The sequence below is a fragment of the Homo sapiens genome, chromosome 2 (assembly GCF_000001405.40).
Source record: "Homo sapiens chromosome 2, GRCh38.p14 Primary Assembly".
NCBI classification, from domain to species: domain Eukaryota; kingdom Metazoa; phylum Chordata; class Mammalia; order Primates; family Hominidae; genus Homo; species Homo sapiens.
Window position 1 is genome coordinate 140,101,216 of NC_000002.12, and position 17,167 is coordinate 140,118,382.

Here is a 17,167-nt window from a genome sequence, read left to right on the forward strand (position 1 = left end):
AAGTGTATATTGTGTATCTAATTCACAAAATTGGTAACAAATAGAAACTCCACCGGGTACAGTGGCTCATGCCTGTAATTCCAGCACTTTGGGAGGCCCAGGTGGATGGATGACCTGAGGTCAGGAGTTCTAGACCAGCCTGGTCAACATAGTGAAACCTCGTCTCTACTAAACATACAAAAATTAGCTGGGCCTGGTATGGATGCATGTAGTCCCAGCTACTCAGGAGGCTGAGGCAGGAGAATCGCTTGAACCCAGGAGGCAGAGTTTGCGGTAAGCCGATATCGCACCACTGCACTCCAGCCTGGGTGACAGAGTGATAAAGTGAGATTCAGTCTCAAAAAAAGAAAAAAAAAATAGAAAACCCGAACTGACAATTAAAAAAATTGATGGCCAACTTAGGTTTACTCATTTGCTTTTGTTATTGTTTAATTTTGTTGAGACAGGGTCTCACTCTGTTGCCCAGGCTGGAGTGCAGTGGCATAATCACTGCTCACTGTAGTCTTGAATTCCTGGGCTTAAGGGATCCTCCTGCATCAGCCTTCCAAAGTGCCGGGATTACAGGCCCAGAAGTTTATTTATTATTTTGTCCAGTTGCTTTGCATACCATATAAACAGATAATCAAACAGTGGGAGATGTTTAGTTACTTTCCTGAGATCTCAGAGCTAAGAATTTGGAGACTTTAGGTCTAATCACAAAGCCTATAGCCTCATCACAAATTCTTTTCCACTCTTACAGAGGGATTCAGAAAATAGGACCTTAAAACATAATTTTATAATTGTTTTCATTATGTATATATATATCCCTCCCATATAAAATTGTCATTACACAATGATCATAACTAAGCTGTGGAAGAAATGGTTATCATCAGTATTGGGTTAAATAGTGTTTCCCAAAATTCCTTTCTCACGTCAGGAACCTGGACCCTCAAAACATGATGTTATTTGTAAATCAGACCTTATTTGGAAAGACATAATCAGGTTAACATGAGGTCTGCATTAGAATGGAACCTAATCCAATGACTGATGTCTTTATAAAAGGAGGAAAGCTTGAACACAGGGACAGGCACAGAGGGAAGACAGATATACATGGGAGATGCCATGTGACAGCAGAAGCAGAAATTGGAGTGACGTATCTGCAAGACAAAGAACACCAACAATTGTTGGCACCCACCAGAAGATAGAAAGAGGCCAGGGAGGATGCCCGCTAGAGATTTCAGAGACAGCATGGTCCTGCCACCACCTGGATTTCAGACTTCCAGGTTGCAGAACTTTCAGAGAATACATTTCTGTTGTTTTAAGCCATTTAATTGGTGGTACTTTGTTACAGTGACTCCAGAAAACAAATAGACCATCTAATGATAACTTATACATGTAGAGAGATTAATGTATGTGTGTATATATGTGTATTATTTCTATAATTATATATAAATATATACACATTTGAATAATCTAAAATAAAAATATTGCCTTTTTATGATAGAAAAATCTGCATTATTATAGTATTTATTCATTATTTTTCTATAAAATATTTTTGAAATTGGCTTCTATAATAAAAAGCTGCAGTAATATAGTCATCATAAATTTCAGTTCATAAGATTTTAACAGTTGTTTTAAAATTTCTTAAAAATAGTAAAGCAGTTTGTACTTTAAAATAAGCATTTAGATTTAATAAGCAGGTCTTAATTTTTGGTGCCATTAATTCTCTTTATTTGTGTATTGCTTTTAAAATTGATATATAATAGTTGTACATATTTCAGGTTACATGTGATATTTTGATACCTGTATACAATGTATAATATCAAATCAGAATAAGTTGGATGGTCATCACCTCACACATTCATTTTTTTCTTAGTATTGGGAATACTAGAATTCTTCTCCTGTAGGCATTTAAAAATATACAAAAAAAAAATCATTGTTAACTATAATTTCTCTAGGGTGCTATCAAATGCTAGAACTTATTTCTTCTATCTAACTATAATTTTGTACCTGTTAACCAAAGCAAGTCTTGATTTTTTATGCCATTAATTTTTCCACATACATTTCTCATTGTAAATAGTATTAGTTTTCTATAATTAATTTCTTGAAAATATAGGTGTGAATGAAATGCAGGTTTTAAAATAAAATCTAGAAAGAAGTAGAAAATCTAAACTAGAAATGTGGACTAAAGGAATTTAGCTTGATTCCTGACAACATAAATGTGTCTTTCTGACTTAAAAGTAAGGAACTTTAAAAACTAAGAAACTTAAAAGCCTCTTAACCATGTAAGTGTTGGCATAAAACACTGCCTTCTGTGAGATGAAAAATTCATTAGATAATTAATCATTCCAATTGTTTTAGGATGAATATTCATTTTTAATGCATAATTTAAATGAAAACTACCAAATTACAGAAATAACACATGAAATCTTTGGCTTATGGGCATTTTGGGAAAGCTAAAGGATAGCAATGAACATAAAACTTCCAGAAGAGTTCACTTCAAAGGCTTTTTCCTCTCACGTTACATAATTTCTTTTTTTTCCAATTCTATTTATTTTCAGCTGGAAAAAATGAATCTGGGAAAGAAGATGAGAACAAGATTTCAGAAAGCTGTGAGAAAATAACCATGATATCATCATGCCTTTTCTGGATTAAGGTGAGAACAGAAAAATAATTTGCAGTGAATATTGAATGCTGCAGAAATGTATAGAAATAATGTGAAACTATCAAACATGAATTTTTTGTTTATTTCTTCTATTGCATAGTATATTTTTGTTGATATTCTTTTAACAAGTATGGTTAAATTACAAAATACGTAAGAAATAGTTTATCTCTCTCTCTCTCTCTCTCTCGTTGGAAATACAGAGCAAATAATACTTTTTGGCACTAGCTGGTCCATCGTTCCCAGATATTTTACTGAGTATTTTCTACGGGTAAGGCTATTCTCCTACATAAACAAGACAACTGTCAATATCAGAATATTATCTTTGATATGTTACCATTATCTAATTAGCCCAGTCTGTTTGGGTGTTTCCTGTTGCCCCAATAATGTCTAATCCAATTCAGAATTTCCTGTTACATTTAGTTGTAATGTCTCTCCAATCTCTTTTAATCGGGAATAGTTCCTTAAATTTCATGAGTTTGACACTTTCTCAGACTACAGGATAGTTTTTTTTAGAATATTTGTCTGATGTTGCCTTATGATTAGTTTCAGAGCTGCATCTTTGTCAGAAACATCACAAAAATGATGCTGTATTCCTCTCATTACATCCTATCCAATGACATACTCTTTCCAATTCTCTCATTATTGATGATGTTTATCACTTGTTTAAAATGATGTATTCTAGTCTTCTCTATATAAGATAATTCTTTCCCCCATTTAATTATGGATATTTTGTGAGAAGGTATTTCAAAATGCTGTAAATATCTTATTCTTCGTCAAAATTTTAAATTAATTTAATTTTTAATCTCTATTATACTATGGCTTCCTATTTTATTTATTGGATTATAATGTGTTACTATCATTATTTATCTAATTCTCAAGGTATGTCAGATTTGGCCAGTGGAGGCTCATTTAAACTGGCTTTTGTATTCTTTTGTATATTTCCTTTGAGCACTTTCTTGTGCTTTTGTATTCTTTTCTATACATCCTTTGAGCACTTTCTTGCCTAATGTCACAAGAATTCTAGATTAATTTTATGCTTTACCTTCACAAGCCTTCGAACCAGCCATTTCTACAATTCTTTTCGATCATTTCTTAATGAAAAAAGAGTATTTAGAAATAATATCTAAATACTGGGTGGGTTCATTGCTATTGGGTAAGCAATTGTTTCCAAAGACCACCAGTGAATAGAAGAATACATGTATTTATTTACATATATATTAGTTTATTATCTATCTCTCTATCATCCTTCTATCTATATTTCTATGTGTCCATTCATCTGTCTGTCCACTATCCAACCATCCCTCTCTCTACATTAACAACCATACATCAACACCAATACTTCAAATCTCAATCCAACACTAAAGGTTTATTCTAATTTTCTTCCTTTCCATATTTATAACTACCAACTTTGGCAGTGAGAAACATATATTTAATATTTACCTTATTTATTTTAAGTAACTCTTTTTTATGGAAATTTAATATTTACTTTATTAACTTTAACTTCTTTATATGTAATGAATGTGCATCTGCCCTGCTATCCTTTTTCTGGGGTAGACACCATCATCTCTTTGATCAAGCTCTGATACCTTGTTTTAAGCCCCTAAACTTCGTGGAAGTCCTTCTCATCCTGCTTGTTTTCTGGAATCTCATGCCAATTTGTACCTTCATGTGGCATGAAGTTTTGGTAAGAGTATAAATTGTTTATGGCCATAATCTGGCATATCTATAAGCAAACAAACTGTATTTTCCCTTGGAAATCTTTCTTGTGTTAGGAATTTAGCTTAAATAAATATTCTCACTTGTACACAAGAATGTATGTAAAACAATTTTTATAGCTTAAAAAGTACAAACTGCAAATAGCCTTCAATATGGAAAGTGGAAAGCTATATATAAAAACTCCCCTACACACACATACATATATATGTAATGCACATATGTAGATAAAAGCGTATCTCATTTTCTTGCATCTTCCTCATTGTGCTTTGCAGATATTGCATTTTTTTACACTTTATCTTAGCCAAAAGGCTGAGAAGCAACACATTTTTTACAAATTGAAGGTTTCTGGCCACACTGCATGAAGCAAATCTATCGACATAATTTTTCCAACAGTATGTGCTCCCTTCAGGTCTCTGTCACATTTTGGTAATTCTCACAATATTATATCTGTTATGGTGATGTGTCATCAGTGATCTTCGGTGTTACTATTGTAATTGTTTTTGGGTTCCATGAACTGTGCCAATGCATTAACTGGCTGTTCTCCCACTTAAGTGGGAGGGTTAAGTTCTCCCACTTAACCTCCCTCTCCTATGGCCTCTGTGTTCTCTGAGATACAACAATATCGAAATTAGGCCAAGTAATAACCTTAAAATGGCCTCTGAATGTTCAAGTGAAAGAAAGACTCACATGTCTTTTGTTTTAAATCAAAAGCTAGAAATGATTGAGCTTAGAGGAAGTTATGTCAAAAGTCATGATAGGCCTCTTGCATTAAATAGGTAGCCAAAATGTGAATGCAAAGGCAAAGTTCTTGAAGGAAATTAAAAGTGCTACTCCAGTGCACACAGAATAATAATAATAAAAAAAAACAGTCTTCTTATTGATATGGAGAAAGTTTGAGTCACCTGAATGGAAGATAAAACCAGCTATAACGCTTTCTTGAGTCAAAACCTAATCCAGACCAAGGCATTAACTTTTCAATGCTGTGAACTCTGAGAAAGGTAAGAAAGCTGCAGAAGAAAAATTGATAGCTTGCAGAGTTTGGTTCATGAGTTTTAAGGAAAGAAGTCATTTCCGTAACATAAAGGTGTAAGGTGAAGCAGCAAGTGCTGATGTAGAAGCTGCAGCAAGTCATCCAGAAGATCTAGCTAAGATAATTGAGGAAAGTGGCTACACTGAACAACAGATTTTCAATATAGACAAACAAACAGCCTTATATTGGAAGATTATACCATGTAGAACTTTCATAGCAAGAGAGGAAAAGTCAATACCTGTCTTCAAGGAAAAACAAAACAAACAAACAAAAAAACAGGCTGACTCTCTTGCTAGAGGCTAATGCATCTGGTGACCTGAAGTTGAAGCCAATGCTCCTGTACCATTCCAAAGACTCTAGAGCCCTTAAGAATTATGTTAAATTTATGCTGCCTGTGCTGTATAAATAGAATAATAAATCCTGGATAATGGCACAACAGTTTGCAGTAAACCTGTTGAGTATTTTAAGCCCACTCTTGGGACCTACTTCTCAGAACAATTATGTCTTTCAAAGTATTACTGGTCACTGATAATGCGTCTAGTCACTCAAGAGCTCTGATGAAGATGTACAAAGAGATTAATGTTTTCTGCCTGCTAACACAACATTCATTCTGCAGCCCATAGATCAAGGAGTTATTTTAACTTTGAAGTCTCATTATTTAAGAAATACATTTGGTAAGGCTAGAGCTGCCATAAAGAGTGAAACCTCTGATAGACCTTGGCTAAGTAAGTTGAAAACCTTCTGGAAAGGATACCATTCTAGATACCATTAGGAACATTCATGACTCATGGGAGGAAGTCAAAATACCAACATTAACAGGAATTTGGAAGAGGTTGATTCCAACCCTCATAAGGGGTACAAAACCTCAGTGGAGGAAATAACTGCGGATGTGGTAGAAATAGCAAGAGAACTAGAATTACAAGTGGAATCTGAATATGGGACTGATTTTTTGCAATTTCATGATAAAATTTGAAGAGATAAGGAGTTGCTTCTTATGTATGAGCATGGAAAGTGGCTTCACGGCCAGGCGCGGTGGCTCAAGCCTGTAATCCCAGCACTTTGGGAGGCCGAGGTGGGCAGATCACTTGAGGCCAGGAGTTCGAGAGCAGCCTGGCCAACATGGTGAAACTCCATGTCTACTAAAAATACAAAACCTAGGTGGGCATGGTGGCACACACCTGTAATCCCAGCCACTCGAGAGGCTGAGGCAGGAGAATTGCTTGAACATGAGAGGCAGAGGTTGCAGTGAGCCGAGATCGTGCCACTGCACTCCAGCCTGGGCGATAGAGTGAGACTTTATCTCAAAGAACAAACAACAACAACAAAAAAAGTGGCTTCTGAGATGGAATCTACTCCAAGTGAAGATGCCGTAAACATGGTTGAAATGACAGCAAAGTATTTAGAATATTCTATAAATGTAGTTAAGCAGCTGCATGGTGTGAAAGGATTGTCTTCAATTTAGAAAGAAGTTCTACAATGGGATAAATGCAGGCATGAAAACAAACAGCATCGCATGCTACAGAAAAATTTTCTGTGAAAGGAAGAATCAATCAACGTAACAAAACTCCACTGTTGTTGTATTTTAAGAAATTATTACAGGTACCATTAACTTCAGCAGTTACCACCCTGATCAGTCAGCAGCCATCAGCATGGAAGCAAGACCCTCCACAAACAAGAAGATAACAACTCTCTGAAGGCTCAGATTGTTAGCATCTTTTAGCAATAAATTCTTTTTAATTAAGATATGTACAGTGTTTTTAGACACAATGCTATGGTACACTAAATATACTACGATATAGTATAAATACAACATTTATATATACTACAAAATAAAAATTTGAGTGACTACTTTATAGAGATATTTACTTTATTGCATGCTCTAGAAACAAACCTGCAATATTTCTGAGGTATGAGGTTATGTATGTAAACACACACACATGCACATACATACATATATTAATTGACCATAAACACCCCTTAAGATAGTGATAAAGTCAGTAAAGATGTAAATAGAAATAGAAATAGAATAACTATAAACAATGACAACTGCAAACAAATTAAAACGTACGTAGATAGATATGTAGATAGATATGAGAGCATCAAACTGAAAACATATTATGCTAGGAGAATATTCGCAAATTCATACAGATATAATTTTGATAGACATGTAAAGCATTCATTTCTATTTTAGCCAGATTGAACCTCTTCTTGTTGTCTTTACTTCTCGACCTTTGCCGACTCATACCCTCCTTCTGTCTGGATCACACTGTGTATTCCAGTCTTCCTCTCCCCCTCCCCACCAGCCAAGGAATCCCAGGAGAATTTGCCAACTTGGCAGAATCTTTCACCACGTTATTTAACCTGGATTTGTTCCACCTGAAAATATCAAGTGCTCTAAAAAGTTGCCTTTTTTTCTAATGTAAACAAGCAATGTAAGGCATTTCTAGAAAATTACCTTGTAATTATCTAGAATCGGTTCAACTTGAACTAATTATAGCACAAGAAGATTCCCTTTCTGAGACCATATTTTCATTGTAAAGACCCTTTTCATCCTTAACCCATCATCCAGGGACAAGGGCACAAGCAGCATTAGGGGAAGCTAAACTTGCATCAGACTCTCTTGTGCTGGCAGGATTCTATATTGATTGACTGCATAGTGTTTGGTAAGTTCTTAGTCACATTGTGTAAATAAGTAAAACAAAATAACTAATATGCATCCAGCAGAATGTAGTGCATATAACACCCTGCATTTATTTATTCTTTGATGCTTATTTAAGTACTGCTTTAGCTCCAGGAGTTGGCAGAATGGCTACTTGAGGAAGATATTCTAGAAGCCCAGAATTACCTGGATGCCACATTACACCAAAACTTTTCCTTTTTGAGTTTTAAAATGTGGAGTGGCAAGCTCTACAGAAAATCTTGGCCAGATTCAAAACATAACATATTTATTCTAATATGCAATCCTCTCCTTCACTCTCCTTTCAAATTTCTTTAGCATATAAGGACATCTGTTTTCCACCCAAGAAAATTTAATATTATAATTAACTATAGTTTTAGCAGTTCGGTGAAATATAACTTTCTCGGATGTCTCTATAATTGAAAAAAAAATTCTATTTAAGTCTCTTATTCCACCCATTGGGCAAAATTCACTTGAGACTATTCAGGGAAATTTCATTCATTTAAAGGCTCTTCTTCTTTCTGCTCAAGGATGTGACTACATTTCCTGGGATGTATTGGTTTAAGTATTGATCTGGTGGGTTTTGGAGGGAGGAAGTTCCTGGTTTCATTCATGATCATCCTCAAAGATGTGCACATTAGGACAGACTCAGTTTCATCCATCTGATCATTGTGGTTCCATGTAGGTAATTACAGTGTATTATTTGTCCTGACCAAAATATATATATATACAACACCAGATTTCAGTGTCTTTTAGCTCCTCATTGCTGTTTGTGTGCCACAGGAAGCATATAACTACACTGGAATTCTGAGGCTATGCCAAGCCCACCGGCCATCATTGCCACCTTTCCCATTCAGTGGTTTCCAGGGCCTTCACACATATGATGAGGAGCTAATCTTTCTAATGCTTAGAAAAATAAGACACATTGAGGAAATCTGTTTTCTACAACTTTCCAGCAGAATGTTAGTGGGGAGGAGAGCACAGGGTTTATTTTCAGAGTCATCAACCAATATGTAATACTCTGGGTTCTATTAATACTCTTTATCTTCCCCCAGGCTATGCTAATTTCAACTAGTTACGGTAGTGGGAGAGGAAGCTCCATGTCTGAGAGATTACAGCCTGTTCTCCATCAACGTGTAACCCCAGGTTTTAAGGTCAAGAAAAACAAAAGTCAAGGATGTTATTATGTTCTTCTAAGTCTTTCTCTTTGGCAAAGAATAATATCTTTCAGAGTTGCCACTGGCAGGAAGGAGGGTCCATTGCAGAGTAAAGAGAAAAATTCCAACAGGTAATATTTTAATATCTTGCTTCACACTTGGCCAGTAGAAAACTTTTCCCCTTGTTGCCCTTTAAGACTGTGTTTGTGTATATCCTCAAAGCTACTAAAAAATGAAAACAAAAACAAAAAACTGGAGACTGTGATTTGCAGCTTTCAACCTAAAAATGCTAGAAAAGGGGCCAATACTGGGTCTTACTCTGGAAAGTTAAAAAATATCTTGAAAGCCACATTCCTCCTCTCCACCAAACTACCTGACTCCTACCACAGGGGCTGTGGTAGTGATGACAGATGAATAATGAAACCAATACTTTCATAAAGAGTTTTTAAAAATATGCTGATCCCAGGACAACTAAGAATTACATTATTATAATATTCAGAAAAGAGGCAGGCTAGTCTTTATATTTAATAAGAAATTCAGATGATTCTTTTCTTCCATTTGGAATATTCTACTCTACATGTATATTTTAGATGAGATTTTAAAAACTGACTTTCAAGTATGAAAAATAAGATAACATCCAGCAGAGAAGGCTTATTTCAAGCCCAATTTGGATTATATAAAAAAATCCCTCAGAGGGATTATTATAACGGATTTCAGAAAATATTAGTAATTCCATTCCTATGTTTACACACTAAAGAAAATAGCATAATAGCATCGATCAATGTCCCTAAAAGTTTACATTCTAAGCTCCACAGGATCACCCGTATTTCAAGAGATTACTTCAGTCTTTTTACTTCGGATATCTAACAATAAGTACTCTAGAGCAATCACGAAAATAGACTTTAAAGATTTATTTTAACATATTTTATAATCTTTGGGAGCAAATGCTTCCTATTTTAAAAGATTAGCATATTTAAACATATAAGCTCTATAACTTTCTTTTGACAGAAAAGTTAAAAATATAAAGGACAAATTAAAAATTGCAAAACAATATTCATAATATGTGTGCCAGACTTTTAAAAGTCGAAATATAAAATTATTGACTTTATAAGTTAATAATTTTAAAAGGTCTACAGCCCAATAGGATAAAAGAGAGAATTTTGGCTGGGTGCGGTGGCTCACGCCTGTAATCCCAGCACTTTGGGAGGCCGAGGTGGGTGGATCACTAGGTCAGGAGTTCGAGACCAGCCTGGCCATCATGGTGAAATCCCATCTCTACTAAAAATACAAAAAAAAATTAGCCGGGCATGGTGGCGGGTGCCTATAGTCCCAGCTACTCGGGAGGCTGAGGCAGGAGAATGGCGTGAAACCGGGAGGCGGAGCTTGCAGTGACCCGAGATCGCCCCACTGCACTCCAGCCTGGGCAACAGAGCAAGACACCGTCAAAAAAGAAAAAAAAAAAAGATAGAATTTTGAACCGTTAATCTCTGATGGCAACCACTAGAAACTGTGAGTGGTCATGTAATCTAAGGGAATGCCAGGCACCTAGGTTTGAAATGGAGATACCTGGGAGCTCCAGAGATGTGGAAATAAGAGAAAGAGGTAGAGAAAGAGTGAGGGCAGGACATAACTAGAATGAATGAATTGCAATGATTTTGTTAGTCCCTTTTTTAGTGTGCTCCAGGTTCGCATTTTAGTCGAGGAGTTTATGATTGGCTCACTTGTCTAAGCCTTGAATAGGAATGGGCTCAGCAGCTGATTAAACTATTACCTGATAAGGAAAAGGACTAATCTCCAGAGGTTAATCAGGAAGATGACTGGAAACAGAAATTAATGCCAGGCAACCAAAAGTTACAAGTTTTCTGCCAAGGACACAAACATTTCATGAAGGAATAAATGCAAGGAGCCAATAAAGTAACAAAAAATGTTCCAGTACTTGGCTCAAAGAAATAAAGAATTTCAACACAATATTTTTGATACTTGAAATTGTAACATATAGAAAATATTAAAAATACTTCCCAGGGCAACAAATGGGTGCTCTCTTAAATTGTACATGGAATATAAAATACTAAAAACTTTTTAAGTCCAATCTAAGTAAATTTAAATGTGCATACTATTTTATTCAACAATATTATTTCTAGTATAGAATTAAAATGGAATTATTTAAAAACTGTAAGGAAAGAAAGAAAAAGAGAAAGAGAAAGGAAGGAAAGAGAGAGAGAGAAAGAAAGAAAGAAAAAGTGAAAGAAAGAGAAAGAAAGAGAAAGACAGGGAGAGAAGGAAGGAGGATGGGGAAGAAGAGGGGATATGAGTAATAAAAATTAAACTGAAATTTCTAACAACGATTAATTTATTAAATAATATTGTTTAAGGAATTCTTAGGGGTTATTAAAATTAATGTATTCAACAAATATCTATTGAAATTTTCCTAAATCAGACAAGGTACTAATGAATTAATGCTATCCTACATCTATTGACATGGAAAGGTACACATTATATATCTGTATTTATGTATCTGTCTATCTATCTATCTATCTAGTAGATATATATATATATATTTCTTTTTTATTCATTTTTTACTCATAATATATTTTTAAGTATAAAAATTAGTGACAAATAGTAGGCATAGTATGATTTAATTTATGACAAAAATATACAGCTTTGATTTACACAGACACACACAGCTTTGCATGGATTATTTGTACACGCTGAGATGCTGCTACTTTTTATTTTCTTTTTTATGTGATGCCAATTTTCTTTTCAATCAGGCTCACCATTCTGCCTTGTACCTCCTGGGAGACATGTTATGTGCTAGTTTCTTGTATTTACCTCCTCGTCTACTCTGTTTGGCTTTGAGTATTCATACAATCTTGAGAAATGGCATTCAGAGTTTTGAGGGGCATGAGAATCAGGCAAGTTTTGCCTACAGTTAGAATTTGTAAATGAGCCCCAAAAGCCTGACAAAAGCCTGAACTCATATAGGTTTTGAATAAAATTTATTTTACTCTTTTTTTTTTTTTTTTTTGCTTTACTCTTCTCCCCTGACGTTTTGGTTGCCTTCCCTTTGAAACCTCCCTTCTTTCTTCTAATTTTTTTCTTACATATTTATTCACTTCACACTTCATTCTCCCTGTTTTTTTTTCTTTACCCGTATTCCTTAACCTGCAGTAATCCTATTCAAATATTGCATCAAATTACAAAAATTAAGATCATTTTATATCACATAGACTTTGCAAGTGTGTTTTTCTCTAATGTAACTATTGTTTAGAAATACACTCACAAGGGCCAGGCACGGTGCTCACTCCTGTAATCCCAGCACTTTGGGAGGCCGAGGCAGATGGATCACCTGAGGTCAGGAGTTTGAGACGAGCCTGACCAACATGGTAAAACCCCATCTCTGTTAAATCCAAAAACATAGCTGGGCATGGTGGCACATGCTTGTAATCCCAGCTACTTGGGAGGTTGAGGCAGGAGAATTGCTTGAACCTGGGAGGCAGAGGTTGCAATGAACCAAGATTGCACCATTGCACTCCAGCCTGGCTAACAAGAGCAAAACTCTGTCTCAAAAAAAAAAAAATATATATATATATATATATACTTACACGTATTACATGACATTCAGGAAGGCCAAACATCAGGTGCTTCAGCAGACTGTTCAGGTTCCACTTGTGGAAAAAAAAAATGAAAGAAAAAATACTGAGGCTTTTGACCACTCTTATATTTTGACAGCAACTTGAGCTTGCAGAATCAAAATAAAATGATTTATAATATAAGTCCATGTGGGTAGGGTAGAGGAAATGCTGCTCTCTTAGCATGTTAAGGTAAGAGATTGGTATGTACAAAACCAAGATAGAACTAATTTTTTAAAGAGAAATATGAGCTTCTCATTTAGGTCAAAAGATGAGGGGGGCAGATTTTCCATAAATAAAATTAGTCTTTAAAGAGTAAAAAAATCTGATTCAGATTTTTTAATTGTCTATATTTAAGGTGTACAAAATGCTGTTTCAGTAGAGATATACATAGTGCAAATAATTACTACAGTCAAACAAATTAACAGATCCATCACTTTCCATAGTTACCATTTTTGTTTTAGAGGCAGAGTTTCTCTGTTGCCCAGGCTGGAGTGGGGTGATGTAATCATAGCTTGATGCCATCTCAAACTCCTAAGCTCAAGAGATCCTCCAGCCTCAGGCTCCCAAGTAACTAAGACTACAGGCACATGCCACCACACCTGGCTAATTTTTTAATTTATTCTTTGTAGAGATGGATCTCATTTTGTTGCCCAGGCTGGTCTTGAACTCCTGGCCTTACGCTATCCTCCCACTTTAGCCTCCCAAAGTGCTGGAATTACAGGCATGAGTCACTGTGCTCAGCCCATAGTCACCATTTTTATGTATGGTAATATCTCTAATAAATTTCAGCATAAATATAATACAATATTACAGATTTAAATACTCAAAGAGGGAGAGCACCCAGAGCAGAAAGGCTCATATTTTTTCCCTGGATCATTCATGGATAGCCACAGAGATTGCTGGAGTCAGGAGCAGCAGAAAAGGAGCTGGAGCCCATCTCTCCCACATGGAAAGCAAGAGGCATGGCTGGGCAGGGAAAAACTGCCTTACTTCTCAGTCCCACCAGCCTGGGAACACTTCTTCTCTTGGAACTTTTTCTAATACTTTGTTGCTTTTATAAAAACTGAGGCTTGGTTAATGGATCTTATTCCCCAAGCTCAAAAGATGATGTAAGCCATGTCCACTATCTAGCCATTCACCTCTACACACCAATATGCTCCAGATGCCAACACACACCCCTTTCATTAGTCCTTTATGTTAAATTTGCAATTCACTGGAAAAAGATGATGGAGACTAATTAAATTACTTCATTAGGGAAAGGTAACTGACAGTGAGGAAGGGCATGTGTTGGGCACTCTGGAGAGTCAAGTTTAGTTGAAGGGCATTGGGATGTGAGAGATGAGGAGAGAGTGAGAAAATAAGACAAAGCCGGCAAGTTTTTTGAAGACACTGAAAAAGTCTATGGAGTGTTCATTGAGCATCTCAAAAAAAAAAAAAAAATGAAGCTGAGACAGTGGTCTCCTGGTGTTATGAGAGGGAACAAGACAGCTAGAATAAAGTTGCCACTTCATTATTGCTTACCCCACCCCCAAATACAAATTATTGTATTAAATCTTTTTCATTTGAGGCATCAACTGTGGTTCATGTTTTTTGTTTGTTTGAGACGGAGTCTCTGTTACCCAGGCTTGCGTGCAGTGTCACAAACTCAGCTCATTGAAACTACTGCCTCCCAGGTTCAACCTTCTCCTCCCTCAGCCTCCTGAGTACCTGGGATTACAGGTGCCTGCCACCATGCCAGGATATTTTTTGTTTTCTTTTGTATTTTTAGTAGAGATAGGGTTGCACTATGTTGGCCAGTCTGGTCTTGAACCCCTGACCACAAGTGATCTGCCTGCCTCAGCCTCCTAAAGTGCTGGAATTAAAGACATGAGCCACTGCACCTGGCAGGTTCATGTTTTTTAACTGGTACATAGTCTCCTTGTGGAGACCGATGTCAAACAAATAGACACCAAAATAAATGTAATCATACATTTTAAAAAATAAAACAGAAAAGAAAATAACTAAAAAAAAAACTAAGAAGGGGATCTACTTTAGGTCATGGGAGGGGCAGAACACATTTTGATGCAAAATCTCTTGTAGGCTTCAATGGCTAGTCCTCAGTCAATGGCTCCTCAATATTTATTACTTGCTCTGACAACTTCCTCATGAACTAAACTTTGTCTCTCTCTTATTTCCTGGGTATCTTCACCTGCTTTTATCTAAAATTTAACATGTTCAAAAATCTTATCCCCTTCCCATATATTTTAGTCCTTTTGTTACTACTATAATAGAATACTACAAACTGGATAGTTTATATTAAAAAGAAACTTATTAACTCACAGTTCTGGAGACTGGAAGTCAAATATCAAGGTACTGGTGTCTTGCAAGGGCCTTCTTGTTATGTCGTAACATGACAGAAGAAAAGAGGGAAAAAAGAAAGAGAGCCCATGACTAAAAACTCTCTTATTAAGGCATTGAATGCACCCATGAGGCTGGAGTCCTCATGGCCTAATTACCCGTTAAATGTCACACCTCTTAATATTGCTACAATGATGATTAAATTTCAACATGAGTTTTTGAGGGAACAAACATTCAAACCACAGCATCCTACAAATCATCTTCTCTTCTTTGTTGGTCCCTCTCCCATATTTGTGCCATTTCAATTTCTGCATTGTCTTAGAAAGCCAAAAATTTTAATTCATTTTTCACTATTAGACAAATTTGGGTTACTACTATTGCTAGAAACCACAAATAAATCTGGTTTCTAACTCTTCCCAACTCAGTTCATCCTAACTACTCAGCTAAGTAGATGCTTACCCACATTCTGGCTGTGATACTCCCTGTTCGAAAAGCTTTAGTGGCTATCAACCAAAACTCTAACATCCAACATCACTTATGAATTACTTATAAATATTTTTTTAATTTAATTCCACAAGTCCTCTATGATCTAACCATATTGGACTACTTGTAGTTTGTCACATGTGCTCTAAAGCTTTCTGCCTGCCTGATTTTTGCTTAGTTTTATCTCTCCAAGGAACATATCCTACTTTTTACCTTTTTTGCTTCCTTATCCCCATTTTCTATCATTATCTTAAATTTCATATCATCTATAAAGGAATTCCTTGTGCCTCTTGATAATAAAATTTCTCTGTTAAAGCTTTTTTTGTGTTTTTTTCTTTGTACAATTTACATGGAATTTTTCATATGCTTTTTATGTGATTTTGACATTCTCTCATTCCTCCTTGACTTTTGGAAATCTCTTACTTATCTGTTTGTTTCTTAGTGCATATAGTGGGTGCTCAGAAGTGCATCAAAATCCCTCAAGGACGTTTAATAACATGGGCAGCAGAATTACAAAAGGCAGCATCCAGAAAGTAATACAGAGTGGAAATTCACCTTAACTTGAAAAGCCTTGCATTCAAAGAGAATTCAACAACATACTTGTGTAGTGGAACTTGTAAAATGTTTTTGTCCCAGAGCAAGCTTAATGATTAAGCACTTGGCACTTCAGAACTGCATCATTGCACATGCTGGAACTAAGCCAGGGAATCAGTTAAGCAGATCTTCAGTTCAACCTTGCTATAGTCTCCGAGATCATTTGACAAGTTGAGAACTTCCCCAGGTTGATCTATTTCACCTATAGTAATGACTGGAGAAATACAGTAAGCACAGAATAGAACATATAGCAGAATTCTATTCCCAGAGACCTTTTATTATCCTTCTTTGTCATTGAGTTCTACTTGCACAATAAAATCTGTTATTTCACTCCTCATCAAGTAATGTTTTACACACTTATATAAATATGGTCCAAACCTCTTCAAAGAACAGCCAGTACTTACAAATGAAATTTTCATCAGATCAATTTCTTATTTCAAAATAGAAAGATAGTAATCTACATGTACTAGTGAAAAAAAAGACGATTGAAAAAGTACTGAATGATGATGTTCATCTTTGATAGTTTGCTGGATTTAACAGAAGACTTATAAATGGCAAAGCATTTGATCAGATTGGGTAGAGGGTAAAACTTGAGTTTTTTAATTCTTCTACCAATTGAGTAAGATGAGTTGGTAGAAATTAATCGTCTTAGTTTTTATGTCATTAGATTTCAACAGACTGAATTTCCTCTGACAAGGAAGGTACTATGCAATGTGCAATAATCTTTTAAATGTAATCATAACCTGGCATTGATAAAATATTCTCTGAAAACAAAAGTCACACCTCAGTCTTTGGTTTCAACAGCAGCATATAAGAATTCTCTTGGCAAGAATGACAGAAAAAAGATTTTCTATTCAATTTAGTCAAAAGCCTTTCAATTCATTTATCTTACTTATT

The 17,167-nt window shown here is 35.6% G+C and overlaps 1 long non-coding RNA gene across 2 annotated transcripts in view; it reads right to left on the reverse strand.

The window, feature by feature from the left end:
- Window positions 1–16,486, reverse strand: part of LINC01853 (long intergenic non-protein coding RNA 1853) — a 38,124-nt gene extending 21,638 nt beyond the window's left edge. Inside the window, exons 1-3 of one of the 2 annotated variants that reach the window (NR_183815.1) lie at window positions 16,277–16,486; window positions 15,176–15,229; window positions 12,827–12,889 (exon numbers count right to left, since the gene is read on the reverse strand). This is a non-coding gene — a long non-coding RNA (long intergenic non-protein coding RNA 1853). Of the gene's footprint in view, window positions 1–12,826; window positions 12,890–15,175; window positions 15,230–16,231 lie in introns of both variants that reach the window. The other variant, NR_183816.1, reaches the window with a different exon arrangement.
- Between the last annotated feature and the right edge of the window lie 681 nt (window positions 16,487–17,167).